The 22,071-nt window shown below is 45.0% G+C and overlaps 1 protein-coding gene and 2 long non-coding RNA genes across 13 annotated transcripts in view, besides 6 other annotated features; 1 reads left to right on the top strand and 2 right to left on the bottom strand.

Annotated features, from left to right (window-relative positions):
• The window catches only part of LOC105378450 (uncharacterized), a 28,841-nt gene extending 22,705 nt beyond the window's left edge, over positions 1-6,136 (bottom strand). For both annotated transcript variants that reach the window (XR_007062264.1, XR_007062265.1), the window contains exon 1: positions 5,899-6,136. This is a non-coding gene — a long non-coding RNA (uncharacterized LOC105378450). The remainder of the gene's footprint in view (positions 1-5,898) is intronic.
• SLC25A28 (solute carrier family 25 member 28) overlaps positions 1-20,396 on the top strand; it is a 48,765-nt gene extending 28,369 nt beyond the window's left edge. For 3 of the 10 annotated variants that reach the window (XM_006718005.5, XM_024448223.2, XM_024448222.2), the window contains 3 exons: positions 16,994-17,222; positions 18,319-18,375; positions 19,552-20,396. In XM_006718005.5, the coding sequence (XP_006718068.1) occupies positions 17,000-17,222; positions 18,319-18,375; positions 19,552-20,069 (798 nt within the window). In that variant the 5' untranslated portion in view covers positions 16,994-16,999 and the 3' untranslated portion in view covers positions 20,070-20,396. The other 7 variants (XM_047425809.1, XM_005270211.6, NM_031212.4 and 4 more) reach the window with 7 other exon arrangements.
• Positions 8,923-9,504: an enhancer, noted in NCBI's record as "H3K27ac hESC enhancer chr10:101381171-101381752 (GRCh37/hg19 assembly coordinates)". NCBI's record gives its function as "activates a minimal SCP1, AML or CMV promoter by ChIP-STARR-seq in naive and primed H9 embryonic stem cells {active_cell/tissue: H9 hESC(naive and primed)}" and the evidence as "EXISTENCE:reporter gene assay evidence [ECO:0000049][PMID:30033119]".
• On the bottom strand, positions 9,000-10,073 carry SLC25A28-DT (SLC25A28 divergent transcript). The gene has a single exon (NR_186534.1). It is a non-coding gene; the product is annotated as an SLC25A28 divergent transcript (long non-coding RNA).
• Positions 9,505-10,087: an enhancer, noted in NCBI's record as "H3K27ac hESC enhancer chr10:101380588-101381170 (GRCh37/hg19 assembly coordinates)". NCBI's record gives its function as "activates a minimal SCP1, AML or CMV promoter by ChIP-STARR-seq in naive H9 embryonic stem cells {active_cell/tissue: H9 hESC(naive)}" and the evidence as "EXISTENCE:reporter gene assay evidence [ECO:0000049][PMID:30033119]".
• Positions 9,739-9,898: a silencer, noted in NCBI's record as "silent region_2695". NCBI's record gives its function as "represses an Ori minimal core promoter by ATAC-STARR-seq in GM12878 lymphoblastoid cells {active_cell/tissue: GM12878}" and the evidence as "EXISTENCE:reporter gene assay evidence [ECO:0000049][PMID:35858748]".
• Positions 10,629-10,788: a silencer, noted in NCBI's record as "silent region_2694". NCBI's record gives its function as "represses an Ori minimal core promoter by ATAC-STARR-seq in GM12878 lymphoblastoid cells {active_cell/tissue: GM12878}" and the evidence as "EXISTENCE:reporter gene assay evidence [ECO:0000049][PMID:35858748]".
• Positions 10,629-11,253: a biological region, named in NCBI's record as "H3K27ac hESC enhancer GRCh37_chr10:101379422-101380004".
• Positions 10,671-11,253: an enhancer, noted in NCBI's record as "H3K27ac hESC enhancer chr10:101379422-101380004 (GRCh37/hg19 assembly coordinates)". NCBI's record gives its function as "activates a minimal SCP1, AML or CMV promoter by ChIP-STARR-seq in naive H9 embryonic stem cells {active_cell/tissue: H9 hESC(naive)}" and the evidence as "EXISTENCE:reporter gene assay evidence [ECO:0000049][PMID:30033119]".
• Positions 20,397-22,071: the final 1,675 nt, after the last annotated feature.

The following is a 22,071-nucleotide window of genomic DNA, read 5'->3' as shown; positions in this document are numbered from 1 at the left end:
ATGTCATTTCCCTTGTGCGACATAACCCCCTAGGCTAAGTTAGGTCCCCTTAACATATGATTTTAGTATATCATGTGCCTTTCCTTCATCTCACACATCCCAGTTGTAATTTTACATTCATGAATCTTTGGTTAATGCCTGTCTTCCCCAGAAGACTTTAAGCTCCACCAGAGAAGAGACCATGCGTGGATTTATGCATCTTTTATCCCTAGGACTTCGTTTAAGGCCTGGCACATATTGAGAGAATAAATGAATTGGCTAGCACTATTAAGCTTTGCTGCCCCCTGCTGAGTCATGGCTTTTAGCCTATTAAACTAGCACCAATTGGATGTTCAGAACTAGTGTGGTGATATCATAGCAATATTTTTCAAAATGTGGTCCAGGGACCACCTGTGTCAGAATGACCTGCTTATAAAATGCAGATTCTCATGCCTCACTCTGAAGATGATTTTTAGGCCTATGTTAGGGTCAAAAAGTTTGCATGGGCCAGGCATGGTGGCTCATGCCTGTAATCCCAGCACTTTGGGAGGCTTAGGTGGGTGGATCACTTGAGGTCAGGAGTTCGAGACCAGCCTCGCCAACGTGGTGAAACCCCGCGTCTACCAAAAATATTTTTAAAAAATTTGCCGGGGGTGGTGGTGCGCATCGTTAATCCCAGCTACTCAGGAGGCAGAGGCAGGAGAATTGCTTGAACCCAGGAGGCAGAGTTTGAGTGAGCTGAGATCTGTACCACCGCACTCCAGCCAGGGGTATAGAATGGGACTCCGTCTCAAAGAGAAAAGAAAAAGTTTGCATCCAAGCTCCCCTGGATGATTTGAGAGCCACTGGTATGAAAGGAAGGAAAGAAAGGAAAGAAGTGGAAGAAACTGCTTTACAGTCTCACTACCCTTTTTTTCCCTCTTCTTTTTTGAGATGGGGGTTTCCCTATGGTGCCCAGGCTGGTCTTGAACTCCTAGGCTCAAGCGATCCACCCACCTTGGCCTCCCAAAGGGTTGGGATTACAGGCGTGAGCCACTGTGCCGGGCCAAATTAACCATTTTAAAGTGGACTATTCAGTGGCATTTAGTACATTCACAATGTTGTACAACCACTACATCTACCTAGTTCTGACTCATTTCATCACCCTGATAGGAAACCCCATCCCCATTAAGCAGTTACTCTCATTCTCCCCTGCCTGCTGCATCTGGTAACCACCAATCTGTGTTCTGTCTCTATAGAGCTATCTATTCTGGATATTTCATATAAGTGGAATAATATGTGACCTTTTGCATTTGGCTTCTTTCAAGATTCATTCACATTATAGCATGTATCAGTTCTTTGTTTCTTTCTATGGTTGAATTATATTCATTGCATGTATACACAATCTATTTATCCATTATTTGTCTGATGGACATTTGGACTGTTTCCACCTTTTGCCTAGTGTGAAAAGTGCTGCTGTGAACATGCACGTACTTGCTTGAGTACCTGTGTTCCATTCTTTTGGAAATTGTCTTAGTCTTGTGTTGCTATAAAGGAATACCTGAGGTTGGGTAATTTATAAAGAAAAGAGGTTTTTTGGCTCATAGTTGTGCAGGTTATACAAGAAGCAGGGAACCAGCATCTCCCCAGCTTCTGAGGAGGGCCTCAGGCTGCTTCTGCAGAGATAATATGACAAGAGATGAGGCAAGGGGCATGGGGCAGGAGGTGCCAGGCTCTTTTTAACAACCAACTCTCACTGAAACTAATAGAATGAGAATTCACTCACCTGTCCCCCACAGAGGGCATTAATCTATTCATGAGGGATCTATTCCCATGACTCAAATACCTCCCAGTAGGCCCACCTGGAACACTGGAGATCAAATTTCATCATGAGATTTGGAGGGGACAGACATCCAAATTATAGCAGTCATATACCTAGGAGTGGAATTGCTGGGTCATATAGTAATTCTATGTTTAACTTTTTGAGGAACTGCCAAACTGTTTTCCATAGTGGCTGAATGATTTTACATTCTCACCAGCAATGTATGAGGGTTCCAATTTCCTCAGTGGTTGTTATTTTCTTGCTAATGGTTGTTATTTTCAACAATGATTGTGGTGGGTTTTTTTGTTTTGTTTTTGAGTCAGAATTTTGCTCTTTTTGCCCAGGCTAGAGTGCAATGGCGTGATCTCAGCTCACTGCAACCTCTGCCTCCCGGGTTCAAACGATTCTTCTGCCTCAGCCTCCTGAGTAGCTGGGATTATAGGCATGTGCCACCACACCCGGCTAATTAATTTTTAGTAGGGACAGGGTTTCTCCATGTTGGCCAGGCTGGTCTTGAACTCCTGACCTCAGGTGATCCACCCACCTTAGCCTCCCAAAGTGCTGGGATTGTAGGCGTGAGCCACTGCAACCGCCCAATGATTGTGTTTTTTCTTATAGCCATCTGCATAGGTATGAAGTGGCATAGCCAATAATCTTTTGACAAAGGAAAATGAAAACGTTTTTACTGCAAGCCTGAATAAACATTCAAGAAAATATAAAAGACAAATTTGTTTTTGACATATTTTCCTTTTACTTGATGGCATAATGTTGATCTGTGAAAACATGTAAACATGTACTTTCCCCATACTTCTCCTAGAAGTAATGCAAAATATAAAATTGAAACTCAAGTCGAGACATGAGTAAATGAGGAGTATTACTCAGCTTTTTCTTGTTTCTGACCAGAGAGGGATCATTGCCCTTTATTACTTCCCAGCATAAAAATAAAAATTGTAAGTCTTACATATCATAGTCCCAAGAGAGATAGGCCACAAACCTTGCCATAAATGTGCCACTTAAATGAAATAAGGCTCTCTCACCTTTAATATTTAATTATGCTCTCTTTACTTTGCTCTCAGGAGAATCTCCCTCCAGAAGCAATGTATTCTTTGATAATAGTCAGAGATTGGTATCGGTGATGTAAATAAAAAACTCACTGCTCTGTTCTCACTTATTTGTGGGATCAAAAATCAAAACAATTGAACTCATGGACATAGAGAGTAGAAGGATGGTTACCAGAGGCTGGGAAGGGTGGCGGGAACTTGCGGGAGGTGGGTAAGAATTGTTAATAGGTCCAAAAAAGAATTGAAAGAATGAATAAGACCTACTGTTTGATAGCAAAATAGGGTGACTATAGTTAATAATAACTTAATTGTACATTTTAAAATAACTTAAAAGTGGGCAGGGTACGGTAGCTCATGCCTGTAATCCCATCACTTTGGGAGGCTGAAGTGGGAGATCACTTGAGCTCAGGAGTTTGAGACTAGTCTGGGCAACATAATGAGACCTTGTCTCTACTAAAATTCAAAAAAATTAGCCGGATGTATTAGTGCTTAACTATAGTCCCAGCTACTTGGGGGACAGAAGCAGGAGGATCGCTTGAGCCAGGGGGGTTGAAGCTGCAGTGAGCCATGATCACGCTACTGCACTCTAGCCTGGGTGACGGAGCAGTATCTTGTCTCAAAAAAAAAAAAAACAAGATGAATAAATAAACAAATACATAAATAAAGAGTGTAATTGGATTGTTTATAGCTCAAAGGATAAATGCTTGAGGGGATGGATACCCCATTCTCCATGATGTGATTATTTCACATTGCAGGCCTATATTAAAACATCTCAGATACCCTATAAATATACACCTACTATGTATCCAAAAAAAGACTTTTTTTTTATTTTTATTTTGAGATTGTCTCGGTCTGTCGCCTAGGCTGGAGTGCGGTGGCATGATCTTGGCTCACTGCAACCTCTGCCTCCCTGGTTCAAGCCATTCTCATGCCTCAGCCTCCCAAGTAGCTGGGATTACAGGCATGCACCACCATGCCCGGCTAATTTTTGCATTTTTAGTACAGACAGTGTTTCACTATGTTGGCCAGGCTGGTCTCGAACTCCTGGCCTTAAGTGATCTGCCTGCTGTGGCCTCCCAAAGTGCTGGGAGGTGTGAGCCACCATATCTGGCCATAAAATTAATTATTTTTTTAAAAAAATACAAAGGGCAGGGTTAAAGAATGAAAGTGACTCATCAGACAGACAAAAGTGGAATAAGGAATCTGGGGAAGAAGGACTAACGGTGGGACTGAAAACTGCCCTCTACTTATATTTTCCTCAATAAATGAGAATTACAAATTAAAAAAAAAAAAACACTGCTCCACTGTACCATATTTATGTACACAGAATATCCCACATGGGCTGAAATTTCCATTCTTAAAGCCATGTTTTGCCCTTAACAGGAATATATGTAAGTCAGGGAAAGACATGAAGTCTACTGTTATATCTTGATTGAAGGCTTTGCCAGCACAAGGATTGTTTGACAACCTGGGTGTTTTTATGCACCCAGCGAATAAATGATAATAAGATGAGAAGTGAGTCAGGTCACACTTTTCTTTTGTAAGATAAAAGGACAGATTGAGAAAGGGGAGAAAGGAAAGAAGAATTGTTTCAACGGCTTTTTCAGGAAGAGGAATTTTAGGAAAGAATTAATCCAGATGAGGAGTAGCAAATTAATTCCCTTGAAACAATGTTTCCTAAATAACCCTTGGAAAGTCTTCCTGTACACAGTCTCCAGTTTGAAAACTAATGAGATAAATAATGATATCTCCTGATCCTTTCAGTCCTCACTGCTTACCCCATCTCTGAATTCCTGTAGCTCTTATGTTCTGTTTCTTCACCATTTAGGAATCAGTTTCTTTTTAAGTGGCTGTAAGGTTAGCAGTCTTATTTTCATGTGTGGCTGCTGGAATCAATCTCATTTTATACTACACTCATATCACATGCCCAGGTATGATGGCAGTTCAGAGAAGGGGGTAGTGTAAGCCGGACGCAGCAGTAGGACCTGTTTTGAACCTTCAATAATGAGAAATTTGATAAGAACAAAGGGGGAAATGCATTCTAAGGAAGAGCAGCTTCTCTAGGATATAAATTCACCTGCTGTAACAAAGATTCCCATTAACAGCAATTGCTTAACAAGCTTTCTCATGTCTGAGCACAAGTGGTCTGAGGTGATAGGATGCCTCATGGTGTTAAGGACACAGGTTTCTTCTAACTTTTGCTCTGCCACCAGCTAAAGTACAGGCCTTGTCCTCATGGCCAAAAATAATTATCTTCTGGGTCTGTGTTCTGACGAGAAGGGAGAAAATGAGCAAGAGGAGAACATATCCTTTTCTTTTAAAGGTACAACCCAGGTGTTTCAAACATCACTTTCCCTCACATCCCACTAACTAGAACTTAGTCACACCTCCAATGTTGATTGCCAGGGAAGCTGGGGAAAAATATATGGGCTTTAGCTGGGAAGCCACATGCCCAAATTGAAACTTGAGGTTTCTATTACTAAAGAAAAAAAATGAGTGGTCTCATAGAGAGATGTAGAAAATTACAAGACAGACGGGAGAATGTGAAAAAACAATTGTACTGGGAATGAGAGGTGAAGCCAGCTGGGCTTCTGGGTCAGGTGGGGACTTGGAGAACTTTTCTGTCTAGCTAGAGGATTGTAAACACAACAATCTGCGCTCTGTGTCTAGCTAAAGGATTGTAAACACACCAATCAGCACTCTGTAAAATGGACCAATCAATGCTCTGTAAAATGGACCAATCAGCAGGATGTGGGGGAACAGGGCCAAATAAGGGAATAAAAGCTGGCCACCCTAGCCAGCAGCAGCAACCTGCTCAGGTCCCCTTCCATGCTGTGGAAGCTTTGTTCTTTCACTCTTCAGAATAAATCTTGCTGGTGCTCACTCTTTGGGTCGGCAATATCTTTATGAGCTATAACACCCACTGCAAAGGTCTGCGGCTTCAATCATGAAGTCAGCGAGACCACGAACCCACTGGAAGGAAGAAACTCTGGATACATCTGAACATCTGAAGGAACAAACTCCAGACACGCCATCTTTAAGAACTGTAACACTCACCGCGAGTGTCCGCGGCTTCATTCTTGAAGTCAGCAAGACCAAGAATCCACCAGAAGGAATAAATTCCAGACACTGGAATACAAGAAAACATGACTATAGTACCTGAGGAGTTGCAGGTGCAGGAAACTGCTGAGGGTTTGTGAAGAATATCACCAATAAAGTTCCTTGCCTACTTTTTTTTCTTTGAGATAGGGTCTCACTCTATCACCCAGACTGGAGTGCAGTGGCCCAATCTTGGCTCACTGCAACCTCTGCATCCCGGGTTCAAGTGATTCTCCCACCTCAGCCTCCTGAGTAGCTGGGATTACAGGCACACGCCACCACGCCTGGCTAATTTTTGTATTTTTAGTAGAGACAGGGTTTCACCATGTTGGCCAGGCTGATCTCAAACTCCTGACCTCAAGTGATCTACCTGCCTCGGTCTCCCAAAGTGCTGGGATTACAAGCATGAGCCACCGTGCCTGGCCTGCTTACTTTTATAATTTTTTAGGCAGGTTTAGTGCTGGTGAGATGTACGACAGTGTGTATGGGTTTGTGTGCAGGTTAGGTGCTTACTATTCAAAGTGTGGTCCAAGGTCTAGCAGCATCAGCATCACTTGAGAGCTTGTCAAAAATGCAGAATCTAGGTAGGCGTGGTGGCTCACACCTGTAATCTCAGCACTTTGGGAAGCTGAGACAAGAGGATTGCTTGAGCCTAGGAGTTCTAAGACCATTTTGGGCAAGATAGCAAGACCCTGTCTCTACAAAAGAAAGAGAGAGAGAGAAAGAAAAAGAAAGAGAGAAAAAAGAAAGAAGAAAGAAAAAGAAAGAAAGAAACAAAGAAAGAAGGAAGGAAGAAAAAAAGGAAGGAAGGAGAAAGGAAGAAAGAAAGAAAAAGAGAAGACAGGAAGGAAGGAAAAAAGGAAGGAAGGAGAAAGGAAGAAAGAAAGAGAAGAAAGGAAGGAAGAAAGAGAAGGAAGGAAGGGAGGGAGGAGGGAGGGAGAGAGGGAAGGAAGAATCTTAGGCCCCAACCAGACCTACAGAACTGCAGTCTGCATTTTAACAAATTCTTCAGGTAACATCATTTATCATCACAGAAGTACTGGGCTAGTTTATGCTATGGTGTGGAATAATCCTAAAAGCTCTGTGTCTTGAAACAACTAAGATTTATTTCTCACTGATGCTGAAGTCTGTCTGGGAGCAAGCAGGTAACAAGTAGGGAACTCTGCTTCATGTCATTCTCACCAGGGCCCCAGGCTGACAGAGTCTCCACCATTTGAACAATCACTAGTCATGTGGCAGAGGAGGAAATGTGTGACTCTTGTGCTTCCCTCGTATTTCACTGGCCAAAGCAAATCCCAGGGCCATGCCTATCTTCAAGGAGGTGGAAAAAACATCCTACTGTGTACCTGGAAGGAGGAGAATCAAAATACTGCTGAAGCTAGGGGATCCTCGAGGCAGGCAGGCCTTTCAAGGGGTTATGACAATACAGATGTAATCAGATTCAGGGAAAGTATATCAATACGAAGGAAAAGGAGAGCATAAACAGAAGAAACAGTTCAGAATGATGATGATTCTGAATGGGCAGTCAAGGAAGACTCCAGCTTTAGAGTCTCATCTATTGGGCAAATAATGAAGACTTTCATGGAAAACGAACATTTTGGAGGAATGGGTTGGGGTGGGGAGTGGAAAGGCTGAGCTTGGAATGGACACGCTGAGTCAGAAATCAAGGTGGATATTCACCCCTTGTTTATCTTTCCAACTTCGTGTTGTATTCCCTCCCCACTCACTCACCATGCTCCAGCCACACTGGCCTTCTTTCTGTTCCTCATGCACCAACCTTGTTCTCACCTTAGGGTTGTCGTACCTACTGTTCCTTCTGCTGGCATGCCCTTCTCCAAGTCTGTCATGACTGGCTCCTGCCTATCATTCAGAACTCACCATACATGTCGTCTCCTCAGAAAGGCCTTCCTTGGCCATACAAATGTAGCCACCCAGTCACACTATATCATACCACCCTATTTCAAAGGTCAGCATAGCATCCAGAGCTGACATTTTTTGTGTGTATTTTTCTCTGTCCCACCTCCCCACCCTCATCATTAAAAAGCTCCATGAGAACATGGACTATGTCTGTCCTGTATCCCCAGCTTCAAGTACACAGTTGGTACACAATAAACATTACTGAATGTTCCCATGGAAATTTCAGTTAAAAGTATGCAATAAGGGAAATAAAGATAGGGTTCCAATGAGGACAACTGGTTTGGAATGGCAAAGTTCTCTAAGGTATTAAAGATGACCAAGAAGCATTAAACGTTTAGGGATGTTCCACTTCAATGGCTAGAGAAGTGTAAGCGACTGAGATGTCTAAAAGGTAGAGTGGTTTCTGAAGCTAGTAAAAAGTGCCAATGTGGTGTGGCGGCAAGTGTTATCTCTGTTAAGAAAAACGGGAATAGGAAAAAGACCGATGGATTTGGAAAGGTCATTTATGACCAATGAATAAAAGAGTGAAAAATGTAAAGAGCTTAAGGAGAGAAAGGACATAGAGGTGGATAGGTCATTAGTGGAGTAATCTGGCAGTAAAGGGAATTAGTACTCTAGCAGGATTGAATGGGTTTTTGTGAGACCTATTCATTTCTCAAGCTAAATATGCTAGAGAAAAGGAGAGACTGAACATGCTGTGGGGGAGAAGTTCCTTTTAAAAAAATTTTTTTGAGACAAAGTCTTGCTTTGTCACCCAGGCTGGAGTGTAGTGGCATGAACACGGCTCACTGCAGCTTCGACCTCCCTGGCGCAAGCAATCCTCCCCCAAGTAGCTGAGACTACAGGTGCACACCACCATACCCAGCTAATTTTTGAATTTTTGTACTTTTTTGTATTTATTATTTTGTAGAGACGGGGTTTTGCCATGTTGTCCAGGCTGGTCTCGAACTCCTGAGCTCAATAAATCGTCCCACCTCGGCCTTCACAGTGTTGGGGTCACAGGCATGAGCCACTGCGCCGGCCAGGGAGAGGTTAACCAGGTTAATGGACCCCTAGGGTGTCCACATGGCACCTTCAGGGACTCTGAAACGCAGAAATGATATGCAAAATTTTGAGTGCACACAGGGGATGGGAGGTGGAAGTAGGAGAAGAGAATTCGTAGTTTTATTATTTTCCAAACGGTCGCGACCTAAAGGTTAATAACAACTGCTGAAGAGAGTAGAAAAAGTTTTTAAAAAGGAAGCCCAGAGAAGAGCTAAACTTTAGAAAGAAAAAAGGAAAACATCTTTCCTATCCAAGGAAAACCTATGAACAGATGGAGAAGTCCACAGTTGCATCATCTGGGTAAAACAGAGAAGACAGAGCTGGAAACCGCGGGCAGCTTGTGCCAACACGCTCGGGGAAGGCAAATGGAAGAAGACGCCCGTGCTCCCTAGAGCAGGAGGTCCTAAGGCCGGGAATCGCTGGCCTTGCCTCTCAGGACCCGGGCTGACCCGAGGGAGGGAGAAGCCCTCATCGCCAGGCGGGGGACCCATCAGCGCGCCGGCTCAGGGACAAAATACTGATGCTTCAGACTCGGCCAGGCCGTGCGTCCGAGCTTCCCCACAGCCGCCGCACTTCCCTGCTGCCTTTGGGATGCGGCCTCCAGCCCCGCCTCGCCACCGGCCGTCATCTGTGAATCATCCCGCCCATTTCGACATCTTCCTCCCCCGCCTTCGGCTCTTGGCCTGGCGCAGAGCCCAGTGACAGCCGGGGCCCGGGGAACCTCATTCATTCAACACTTGTTGGGTTTACTCTGCGAATGTGGATGCGAGGCTCAGTGCCGGGCGCTGGGGCCTGAGGAGCACCGAGTCCGGCCAGAGGGCCCAATACTCCAGACCCGACCAGAGTCTAGCGGGCCGCCGCGGTCCCCCCTGGAGGTGAGGCGGTTCCCAGCCCGCATGTCGCAACGGCTTCCCGGACAGGCTGCGGGTCGCGCCAGCCAGGGATGACCGGCCCAGGCCGGCCCCGCCTCACGCCCGCGACGAGATCCCGCGGGAACACGGCTCTCCGGGGCCAGGGCCGCCCGCTCTCCAGCCACGCGTCTCAGAATTTGAGGAGCGCACGGGAGCGCGGGTCGTAACGGCGCCCGTCAGCAGTTTGACGTTGAAGGCCTGTCGCCGCCCCGCCCCCGACGCGATCCCGCGCACAGGGACCGCAGCTCTGCAGGCGCTAGTGAGGGGCCCGAAGTCGGCCCCTAGAGTCCCTGGGCGCGTCGCTCTTTCTGTAGCCAATCGGGGACCGACGTGGTGCGGGCCAATGGCCGCGGTCAAAGTATCAAGAGTGGTTGAGCCTATCAAAGTTCAGCCTTAAGTTTCTCCCGCCCTTCTAAAAGTCAGAGGCGGGTTGATCGCACATGTCGGCCAATCAGTGACCAATAAACAAGAAGCTTCTAAGATCAAAGGGGAAAAGGTGGGATGTAGGCGCTAGCAACGCCTCAGGGCGGAGGAATGACAGGCGACTTCGCTAATACTACCGGCTGATTTTTCGTACGTAAGGAAAGGGGTGGGTCTAACTTGGCGTCTCCACCAATGGTTGCTTGGGGGGCGTGTCCGCGGGGCCAAGCGGGAGCCGGAGGCCCCGGGCTCTCTGGGCCGCGCCTGAGGCGGACACTACGGGGCCGGGGGGCGGCGGCGGCAGTGGTGGCAGCGGCGGCGGGGGTGGGCGCCGCAGCTGGCCCGGGTGGATGGAGTTGGAGGGGCGGGGTGCTGGCGGTGTGGCGGGGGGGCCGGCGGCAGGGCCCGGGCGGAGCCCCGGGGAGTCGGCGCTGCTGGACGGGTGGCTGCAGCGGGGCGTGGGCCGGGGGGCCGGCGGCGGGGAGGCCGGGGCCTGCAGGCCCCCGGTACGACAAGATCCGGACTCCGGCCCGGACTACGAGGCGCTGCCGGCTGGAGCCACTGTCACCACGCACATGGTGGCAGGCGCCGTGGCAGGGATCCTGGAGCACTGCGTGATGTACCCCATCGACTGCGTCAAGGTGAGACCTGCACCCGGCTTCGAACCCGACCTGGGGCTGACCCGACCCCTGGGTCTTGTCCGGAGCCAGGATCCCGGCTGAGAGCCGGAGCCGACATGGGTTCCTTCCTGGCTCCTGCCACTACCACATGATTCGAACCGACACTCCATTCAAGCAAGGTCCCAGCTGGGAGTTGATCCCAGTCAGGAACCAGGACCTATTTCTAACCGTCAGTGAAATCTGAATCGGGACTCAGGATCGAAAATCTGTCAGCCAAAGCCCTGGACCCCACCTGGGACTAAACAGGAATAGGGTGGGATGGGGTATCCCGAAGCTCAGGTAAGTGCTACTAACTCGATTAAGGTGAAGCCAACTGGCGTGAACCAGACCCTGAAATGGATCTAACGGCTTGAGATGTTTTCTGGGCTAGTGCTTTTACAAACTCCTTGCTGTATCTTCCCTTACTGACGGGGCAGGAACCCGAATCTGGGATCTCTCAGCTAGATAAAGGACTTACATGTTAAATCTTAACACATGAGTGATTGGAAATCATTGTGCAGTGAGAATGCAGAATTCCAGACTGGAAGTAATGTGGGAAAGATCGTATTCAGGAATAGGTTTCAGTTTCTCTGTGAAGCAAGCATGATACCCCACCTATTTCCTGAACATGAAAATTGAGCTGGGATTAGGACTGTATGTTCAGGGAGCACATCAGCCTCCAAACAAGAGAGATGAAACTGATAGCATATTTCTTTGGCCACCTGAAGTTGGCAAAAAGGGAGAAGTTGCCTAGAAAGGAAGTGTGACGGTATTAGAAAGTAGATGTAAGTATGAAGAAAATGGAAAGAGATCAACAAGAGGACACGATTCTTGTGAAAGTAAAACTAATTGCATTCACAACCAAGCAGGATGATTTATGTGTACTGAAGTCAGGTCCTTCTGAAGAAAGCTGGGTGAAGAAAGAAACAGATTATTGTTCTTTACAGTTCTTATTCTTGTACATTAGTAAAGGTGCCAGCCATTAAAGGTGAGGACTGAATTGAGGGAGAGGTAAACTAGAGGGGACTGTTGATATGACAAAGACCGATGCCTCCTTTACATGTGAAGGGTAATAGTCAAACAGTGACCTGGCAGCTTTTTGATGTATGTTTTCTCTTCAAATCAGGAAAGTGTTATGTATTCAAAAGGAGGAGAGAATCAACTTGGGAAAGGCAAAGTAGATCCCTTTTACTTCCCTTTGGTTCCAGTACTGTTTCATGTTTTTCATTAGAATGTGGATAAGGAAATGGGGGGAGCGCTCATTAAGCTTTGTGAATGACAGCAAACTGGCAGGAGTATTTTAACACAAGGTAACTCCTAACAAGGGCCATATCCATTGAAAACGGGGTAAATGCACTTGACTAAAATGGACATTAGAATGTTAAATGTCCTTGTCAATTGGGAGAAATAGAAATAAACTGTAAAATCCATGAGAGAGAAGTAACAACATTGAAATGTAAAACAAGTATAAATAAAAAAGATGCACACATTATATGTATAGACTCTAGGTTGAATGACTTGTGAGTTAATAATGCCGTATATCCAAAAGTTAATATAATCTAGCTGCAGAGTAACCTCCCTAGACTTAGACTGTGAGTAGAGTGCAGGGTTTAGGATGCTGTTTTTCTGGATGAGTATTGAATGGAAAACAGATCAATGAAAACAGTGAAAATTATGTAATGGCTTGAAAAATACAGTGTAATAATTTGTCTTAGAAATATTACTGTAACTTATCAATTTAACCACTGTTCCATTATAACAGAACGGGAGGTTATCTCCTTACTCCATATATTTACATAGTGCTATTGTTGCTATAAACATTTTATAAATCCCTGTTAAAAATGCTTCTAGAATATTTGGGTGCATGTCCTTAAGGGAGGCAAATCTTTGCCCTGTGACAAGATGGAATTGATTTTGCAAGAACAAAGACTATTCAGAATCAAATATGGTGAATAAAGTGGGAGGTCAAAATGGGTAATACTGCTTGGCATCAAAATAAGGTGGGACTGGAAAGCAAGGAGACTGCTTTACTTCTGAGGCCTATAAACCCGTTGAGGAAACACCTCTGAAAGAGAAGTTCCAGAAAGGTTTTGCATAACCACAGCTTTGCTGGAATAAGTCAATTGTAGCCTTCCAAGGTAACTATTTTGAAGAACAGTTCTTACTCATTTACATAAACTTTGGAATTTTTGTTTTTTAAAAATTAGTCATACAACATAGCAGTTATGCCTGAAAGCCCTCTATTAAGGAAATAATGATTTGAGAAAAAAATGCTCAGGAGTTGTCAACAATACGAAAGCTTATTTTAGAAGGCTCATTTTCACTTGCACTTAATGCTGGGATTTAAATGACTTAGAGGGAAGAACTAGGTGAGGCCAGTATGATTTAGTGTCAGTGAGTATGTTAAACACTTTTGTGCAGGCATGAAAGTAAAATTCAAATCTCTTCCTTCAGAAAAGACTTCCCAGTTTGCTTGTCCCCAGCAGCTATCCTTCTTCTTTTAATAAGTGGATGAGTGGGGAGGAAAAGCAGCCCAGTCTTTAAGACTGGAGGCAGATATCCATGTTGTTGGAGCCTAAAGGGCAACCACAATGTTTGCAAATGAAAGCTGACATTGCCTTTTGACATGCAGGCCTGTCCATCCTCAGCTACTTATCAGGGTCAAGTTGACTTTAAATATCCTTGAGAGGGACCATGAGAAGTCAGTGTAGCCTTGCTGGATCATGGTTATTCAACCAGCTATTTCCATGGCTATAATGGAGAGGCTTGGGAGCCCAGATAAATCCCAGTTTCCTTTTCTGGGCCTCAAAGGCAAGCGCCAGACTTTATCTATGGGGACATTCTGCAACCCAAAACAGTCAGAACCCTTCTCAAAATCCTCTGGCGAAGTACCCACCTATCATCAAGCTGCTGTTGTTGGCTCTGAAGTGGTAAAGCAAATATCCACTTATATAATAAAGAGGGGAAGAGCAGAGGGAGATAAATCTCCAATTTCCAGATGTAAATGGTATCTATACATATTCACCTGTGAAAGATTAGGAAATGGAAACATTAGCTTATTTGATTTTCTTGCATCTAGTAATAAGTATTCAGTGATCTTGTGTGCCAAGCACTATCTGAAGTACCTTACATACATTTATTCATTTAATCTGTGAAGCAACTTCATGAAGTAGAAACCATTTTCATTATTTTACAGTTGAAAGGAGGCTTAGGGAAGTTATATAACTTGTCCAAGGTCACACAGTTTAAGTAGCACAGTTATGATTTGAACTCAGTGTATCAGACTCTCAAGCCTTCCATATAGCTTCCCAAAAGCAGATTACAAGAACCAGGCAAGGCACAGAATTTCACAGTAAAGCTTGTCCCTGAACATATGACCTTCAGATTAATAGTGGGACATGTAAATCATTATAGCCACAGAGAAACTTTAAAAGGAAAACAAAAAATACAAAATTAACCCTGATTTATTGGTGGCTAAGGACAGTTAGTTGCCCATGTATATTTGTGAAATGACTTATACAGGAGGCAATGCTACCATGATCTGTAAATTCTTAGATATGAACAAATATAGAATCATTTTGAATACAATAAAAATCTTTGTATTTCTAGCATCTTATAAATTACCAATGGCTTTTACATATCTTATCTCTTTTAATCCCCACAACAGCCCTGTGAGCCAGTCATTCTTGGCCTCATGTTATAGATGACAATTTTGAAGCTTAAAGAGGTTAAGTGACATACCCAAGATCACACAACTAGCAAAGCTGAGGCTCAGACTCAGGCTTTTTGACTCAAATGTGGCTTGTCTTTTACCAAACCACTTACCTCTCTACTGGGTTGTTTGGCTTTTCTCCAAAGCCAGGTAGAAGTTTTTCACATTGAGGTTTTTCAGAAATTCTTACTTAGATATTTCATCTTTCTGTAAAAGGCAGATTTATTGGCCCACAAATTTGGGGAGCCATATTCATTTTTATATTTGGCATAGCTTATGCCCAGGTCCTCTCCATAAGGGTGTACTTTTATCGAGTTAGAATTGTTGAGTTAGATTTAGATGTGTATATAGAATGTTCAAAGTAGCTTCCCACAGTCCGGTTTTCTCTTGGGGGTGAGGAGTTCCAGGCCTCCGAAGCCAAACCGTTCAGAATTGGTAGCCAAATACACCATTGACTGCAGCAGAGCAATGCAATTGCTGAACATTCCCCTTATACAAGATCAGTTTTGAATAAATGCATGGAAACACGATAAGCTAAGAGGCTCAATTTATCTTTGCTTATTAGTAGCTCTAGCCAGCATATGACCCGTAGTCTCTATGAACAACTCTTCTGATGGATTTTATATGCCTTGTGTGATGTGAAAGATGAGTAAACAAACCCTTTATTGGAAATACATGAGGTTTTGTGGGGGGAAGTAGGAAAGAATGTGTCAAATTGTGATAAGTGATACTGTGTAGAGTATTTCTGATTGAACATCCAGTAACTAACCTTTTAAGCTTCCGGTTTTTTGTTGGTAGCAGGCAGGAGAAAATAACCAGAGGAATGTGGATTGCTTGCAGCTAACCGGGACCTGTTCATCTGGTTAGTTTCTTTTCTCCCATGCTCTTGAGGAAAGGTATTACTCTTGGATTCCAGTTGGCCAAGAGGAAGGTTCAAGCTTTTTTTTTTTTTTTTTTTGAGATGGAGTTTTGCTCTTGTTGCCCAGGCTGCCGTGCAGTGGCTCAAACCAGCGAAGGCTCACTACAACCTCCGCCTCACAGGTTCAAGCGATTCTCCTGCCTCCTGAGTAGCTGGGATTACAGGTGCACACCACCATGCCCGGCTAATTTTTTTGTATTTTTAATAGAGACGGGGTTTCACCATGTTGGCTAGGCTGGTCTCGAACTCCTGACCTCAGGTGATCTGCTCGCCTTGGCCTCTCAAAGTGCTGGGATTACAGACGTGAGCCACCGTGCCTGGCCGAAGGTTCAAGCTTTTAAATCCAAATAGAATCTAGTGATTAGATTGATGCAGAAATTTAAACTGTACTTGGGCATCACTTGCTTCCATTGGCTCACCAGTGATTGTAGCTGATACAGTTATGTGACAAAAGATTCATTCATTTAGCAAACAAATCAGAGGTGCTTATTGTGTGTCAGGCACCAGACATTGATTTTTCTTTTTAGACATTGATTTTATATTAACTATTAGTTTCCATGTTACTTTACCTTGAATTGGGTCAGTAGATGAGAAATTTTCCTGGGGAGACACACTCTTCAGAAAAGGTCTAATTTAGGGAGGTGTTTTGAATAAGATTAATTTCCCAAATTTCAACAAAACTTTGTCCAAGAACATCATACAAAGTGTCTACCCTACGCTTTTATTCCAATCATCAAATCCTTTAGAGAGATTCCAAGGATTATGTTTCACTGAGACTGATTTTATTTGCTAATGCCAATTTTGGGATTCAATCAGTTTAAATTAGAAATCTGGAAGGGCCCTTCAGGATTGGAGACTAGATTGGTTTCTAGCTAGACACTCCCACCTTTGCAGTTTCAGGGTAAACTTTCTTTCCCAAGAAATAAAAGCATGTATTAAGAATGCTGCTTCTGCCAAGACTCTGTGTAGACCCAGCCACCATTGCCAGATAGTCTGAAAAAGTATAAAAAAATTAGCCGCCCCTCAGTGTGTGGTCATGAAGCAGGGCCAGGGGCACTCTTTAGGTATACAGCATAAAGTATGTCATAGATAGTAAATACTGGAGTTTAGAATCCATTTGTAAAGAACTGTCAGCTTGAGTGTATTAAGGCACAAAAGCAACTTCTGAAACACAGGCTTGATATTTGTTGCTGGGGCTCTGAATCATTTTGGAGTACCAGGACACTTAGCAATAGGTGGGATTATTTTTTCAGGGAAAATAATGGTGTTCCATTCTTAGGGTCATAGATGACTAGAAAAAGAAAGGTCCAAGGCTTAGAAGAAAGATCAGCTATAGATTGGAAATAAGCTGAAAGCCAGATATCCCTCTCACAGATTGGCACAGCTCCATGTAGAAGGTCTGCCCAGTGTGTTGAGGTGGGGCGAGAAGTTGGCATTGCTGACATTGCGCTTCTCCTTGCTGTAATTTCAGACCCGGATGCAGAGTCTACAGCCTGACCCAGCTGCCCGCTATCGCAATGTGTTGGAGGCCCTCTGGAGGATTATAAGAACGGAGGGCCTATGGAGGCCCATGAGGGGGCTGAACGTCACAGCAACAGGCGCAGGGCCTGCCCACGCCCTTTATTTTGCCTGCTACGAAAAGTTAAAAAAGACATTGAGTGATGTAATCCACCCTGGGGGCAATAGCCATATTGCCAATGGTATTGAGCCTTCCTGTGCTGGTTCCCCCACTTTCCCAACTCTTTGGGCTTTGCTGCTGTCAGTGCTTTCCAGTCTCAGCATGGTTTGGAGCTGAAGCTTTGGGCTGGGATAGGCCAGATTATAAGGGAGGGACTTCCAAACCTGATGTTCTCAGACAACGGGCCGCTTCAACCCTGCCTTTTCCTTTGGGGCACCTCAACAAAGGGTTACAGTATCCTCCCTTACCTACCAGCTTGACTTGTTCCTCTCATCTCCCTGGCATCAACTTCTAATGCCCTGGTAATGTGGAGACACACTGAACTACCCCCAGTCTATGTTTGACAGTTGGGTGGTGTCCTGCTCCTTAGGGCAGGATTGGAGGCGACCCAGCCAGCCACCCAAGGAAGATACTAATGAAGCCCCTGCTTTTTGCCTCACCTTTTCAGGATCCCAACTCACCAGAGGCAGTTTGTGTTGAGAACATGACAAAGCCTCATGACAAAATGAATGGGGGTGGGGCCAAGGAACTGCATGAAGAAACCAGAAGGTTGTGTGGAAGTAAGAGAAAGGATAGCAGCCTAGGGCTTTAGGACCGGCTGGAAACCAAGTTGAGTGTGGAGAGGATGAGGGGTAGAGTAGTTCAGGACCTGAACGAAAGATCTTTGTAGACAAATGTTAGGCTCTGCAAATGGGTTCTGCGGCAGGACTGAGGTGGGATTCTGTGGTGAGGTTCTGTGAGATCTGACCACCTGGCCCCCGTATCTCCCTCCACTGGTGGCAGGTGATGTGCTGGCATCCCTAGGCAGCAGTGTATCTGCTTCCTGTCTGGGGTGTGAGCTGCATTTATTCTCAGAATGATCTTTATTGATAAGACTTGAGCTGGCCTTCCTATCATGGATGTGGAATACATTAGTGACCTTACAAAGTTGGTGGGAACAGATACTTTACCTTCTTAAACAGGAGTTTAGGAGCAGTGGGTCCCCATCTTTTGGACTAGCTCTTAACGTTACTTTTCCCCGCTGTAGTGTAGCACAGCCACTCCCCTTCACTGGGGGACCTCAATGAGTTGGTCAGCTCTCTTGGCCTTACATGTGGCAGTTGTTTTCTTGTTTGCAGGTGCGGCCGGGTGTGTGGCAACATTACTTCATGATGCAGCCATGAACCCTGCGGAAGGTAATGATTCCTCAACCTATCACTCTGTGGGCAGCTGCACCTGTATTTCTTTACAGTTTGCAGAAGAAAGCACATCAGTTTTGGTGGGAAATTCTGTTACCTTGTTTTACCACTAGAGGGTGCTCCCTCCATGTTTTTGGTACCTAACGAGGCACCCTCTTGGACAGGAAGCAGATTCACTGGGATTTTACTAATCCCTGGGGCTTCCCTAGAAAAAGATGTCTCCATGTGGCCTGTTTTTGGGCTTTCCTGGGAGCCTCCTTTGTCGTAGATTTGATCTGTCCTGAAAGTTTAGCAGATTCATTTTTCTTCAAAGAGGTGAAGATGGATTCTGACTTTTTTTTTCCCCCTTATGATTTGCAGGAATTGACACTTAAATATATTGCCTTTCTTATTGGAATGAAGCTAGTTGGGATAGGAATGAAAGGTTAAATCATAGAACTCAGTCCCTGCATTTCTGCTGGGATCTTGGCTTTTCAGTCGGAGGAAAATTCTCCAAAAACATTCTCCATGTGAGGATGAGCAAATATGAAGGGATAGCATTGTTGCCACGTTCATTTTCTGTCTGGGCAAGGCCATGGGGTGGAAAGAGCCAAAGCTAAGCTGAAGCTCCACAGAGCTCACACCATGTTATCTACTTGAGGGAGTGGGAGGTGTTTGAAGACTAAAGCCAACTCTTTTTGGCTAAGAATCTTTTCTTTGGTAGAACTTCTGTCTCCTCCCCTCTAGGAGGATCACCATCTCACATTTTAAAAGTTAGGTGCTCTTTGTATGCGAGGATTGGGATTGTTAGGGGCCTGTGTTCGTGATGATCACTATCATGGAGTCATTTCTTGTTGGGAATTGTTAGAGGGTAAGATCAGAGATAGGTACTTAGTTCAAGAAGACTCTCTGAAGCTCCCAAACTGTAGATATGTCCTGTGTGCGAACTGGCTGGCTTTACAGAAGTCCTGATGGAAGTGGGTTTATTGTTTTTTGACTCGTTACCAACCCTCTGCTTACTCCTTCCCCTCAAAAAAGGGAAGCTGACTTCTCAGGTTAGCCAGCAGCTCACTCATACTTTTTTCTCTCTCTATTCCATTGGCTGATCTGCTGACTTGGGGCTCTGAATCTGGATACTCTCCATCACCGGTTGGCTGCTGTCACCATTTCCTTCCTCGTTGATGGCACTACTAGTGGTCAAGCAGAGGATGCAGATGTACAACTCACCATACCACCGGGTGACAGACTGTGTACGGGCAGTGTGGCAAAATGAAGGGGCCGGGGCCTTTTACCGCAGCTACACCACCCAGCTGACCATGAACGTTCCTTTCCAAGCCATTCACTTCATGACCTATGAATTCCTGCAGGAGCACTTTAACCCCCAGAGACGGTACAACCCAAGCTCCCACGTCCTCTCTGGAGCTTGCGCAGGAGCTGTAGCTGCCGCAGCCACAACCCCACTGGACGTTTGCAAAACACTGCTCAACACCCAGGAGTCCTTGGCTTTGAACTCACACATTACAGGACATATCACAGGCATGGCTAGTGCCTTCAGGACGGTATATCAAGTAGGTGGGGTGACCGCCTATTTCCGAGGGGTGCAGGCCAGAGTAATTTACCAGATCCCCTCCACAGCCATCGCATGGTCTGTGTATGAGTTCTTCAAATACCTAATCACTAAAAGGCAAGAAGAGTGGAGGGCTGGCAAGTGAAGTAGCACTGAACGAAGCCAGGGGTTCAGATGACACTGCTGCATCCTGGTCACATTCTCTGTCTCCTGGAATGCTCCCACCTCAAGTGGAGTTAGAAGGAAGGTAGAGGGGCTCTCCCCCAGGATTTTGGTGTTTTGACTAACACCAGTTCCTGCCAACCTCTGTTGCCACCACCTTTCCTTCCAGGCCCTAAGCACGTGCAGCAAAGCACACCACAGCACCTTTGATAACCTCTCTCCATCCTGGGCCTGATGACCTGCTCTAGACTGTTATAGAGGGATAAGCAGCTCATTCCCCTGGTTCCTAATAAAAAGCCTTTAAATTAAATGGTTTCATTGGGTTTGTCTTGCTAAAGGGGAAGTGAAATGCTGTTAACTGTTCTTGACTTTCCTTTAAGCATAAATCAAGGGACCCAAAGGAAAGGTTTATTGAGTATGTCTGTAGTTTTCTGCTGATTTTCATGACAATTTAAGACATTAGTGGTAGGCCCCAAGCAATCTCCCTGATGGCTAGAACAACAAGCCCTTGACAGATCCCAACCAATCAGATGCTCCAGATCCCCACTGTCTTCCCTAGGGCGGTAGCGCAGCACAGAAGGGGCAGATCTCTGCTCTAATTCGCAGCTCTGCCTGCAGCAGTGCTTTACAGTGTGGCACTTGGTTTTCCATTTTAGTTGTGAAACTCAAATTATTCAGTGAAGCTGCAAGTCCTGAAGATTACATGGTAAATAATACATTTCATTTTATTTTAAGGCTTTCACAGAGTACTTGAGCATGTGTGATCTCATTTGAACCTCACAAAATCTCTGAAGTAGGCAGTGCAGGTGTCATTTGTATTTCACAAGCAAGAAAGCTCAGAGGCTGTGACTAGTCCAAAGTCTCACAGTCAGTGCAGAAGTGGGACCCCAGCCCAAGTGTTTTGACCTCACGAATGAATCTAAGCGTGGCTTCCTACAGATGGGAAATGAGTGGAGGGCATCTCACATCTACTGCCATCTACTGAGGAAGCTCCCTGCCTGATGACCAGTTAGGCTCTGCTTGGAGACTTTTCAGAGATGGGGCTTTCCCTGTGCTTGGTGGGTCAGTGTGTTCCTTTTTTTTTTTTTTTTTTTTTTTTTTTTTTTTATATATCACCAGTTATTAGCAAGTTCTTCAGTACATAGAAATGTACCCCTCTGAGTCTTCCACCTATCCTTGTTAGGTCATCTGTCATTCATTCATTAACTATTGAGTGTCTCTGTGGCAAGCACTGGTGTTGGAAATACAATGATAGATAAAAACAATCCCAGCCCTCAAGGAGCTTACTGTCTGGAGAGGAAGATACATGGAAACAGGCAATTACAAAACAAAATGACAGGAGAGAAGATAGAATAAACCTAGGATACTCAGAAGACAGAAGGATACCCAGCGTAGCCTTGGGTGACCAGGGTAGACATTTGGAGGAAGTAACATCTGAGGTGACACCTGGAAGGCAAATGAGCTAACTTGGTGAAGAGGGGAGGGGTTATGTTCTAGGCAAAGACCTGGAGGTAAGAGAATTAAAAAGTATTTGGGATTTGGTGTGCAAGTGGTTTGGTAGGACTGAAACAATCTGGGCAAGACATGCAGCCTGAGAGCCAAGCAGACACTGGGTCTTCAAAGCGATGCTATGGAGTTTAGATTTATCCTGAAGGCCATGCAAAAGCATTACGGAGTTTTAAGCAGAGGTGTGGTGTGATCAGATTTACAATTTAAACAGATCACTTAGGCTCTCTGGAGAAAGGATTAGAGGAGCAAGACTGGACAGGCAGGCCAACTGGTTAGGAGGCTGCTGTGGTAATCCAGGCAAGTGCATGGTGGTCTGAAGCAGGACTGTGGCATGGAGCCGGGAGCCATGTTAGGGTTGTAGAAGCAATAGGATTCGGTCACAGAGTAGATCTCGTCCTCCTCCCATCTGACAGCCCTTCAATATCTATGGAGAATCATGTCTGAATGCACTTGAAAAAAAACTGTCGAGAAACCAG

This window comes from Homo sapiens, chromosome 10 (assembly GCF_000001405.40).
Source record: "Homo sapiens chromosome 10, GRCh38.p14 Primary Assembly".
Classification (NCBI taxonomy): Eukaryota; Metazoa; Chordata; class Mammalia; order Primates; family Hominidae; genus Homo; species Homo sapiens.
This window is presented reverse-complemented; position numbering and strand designations above follow the sequence as displayed.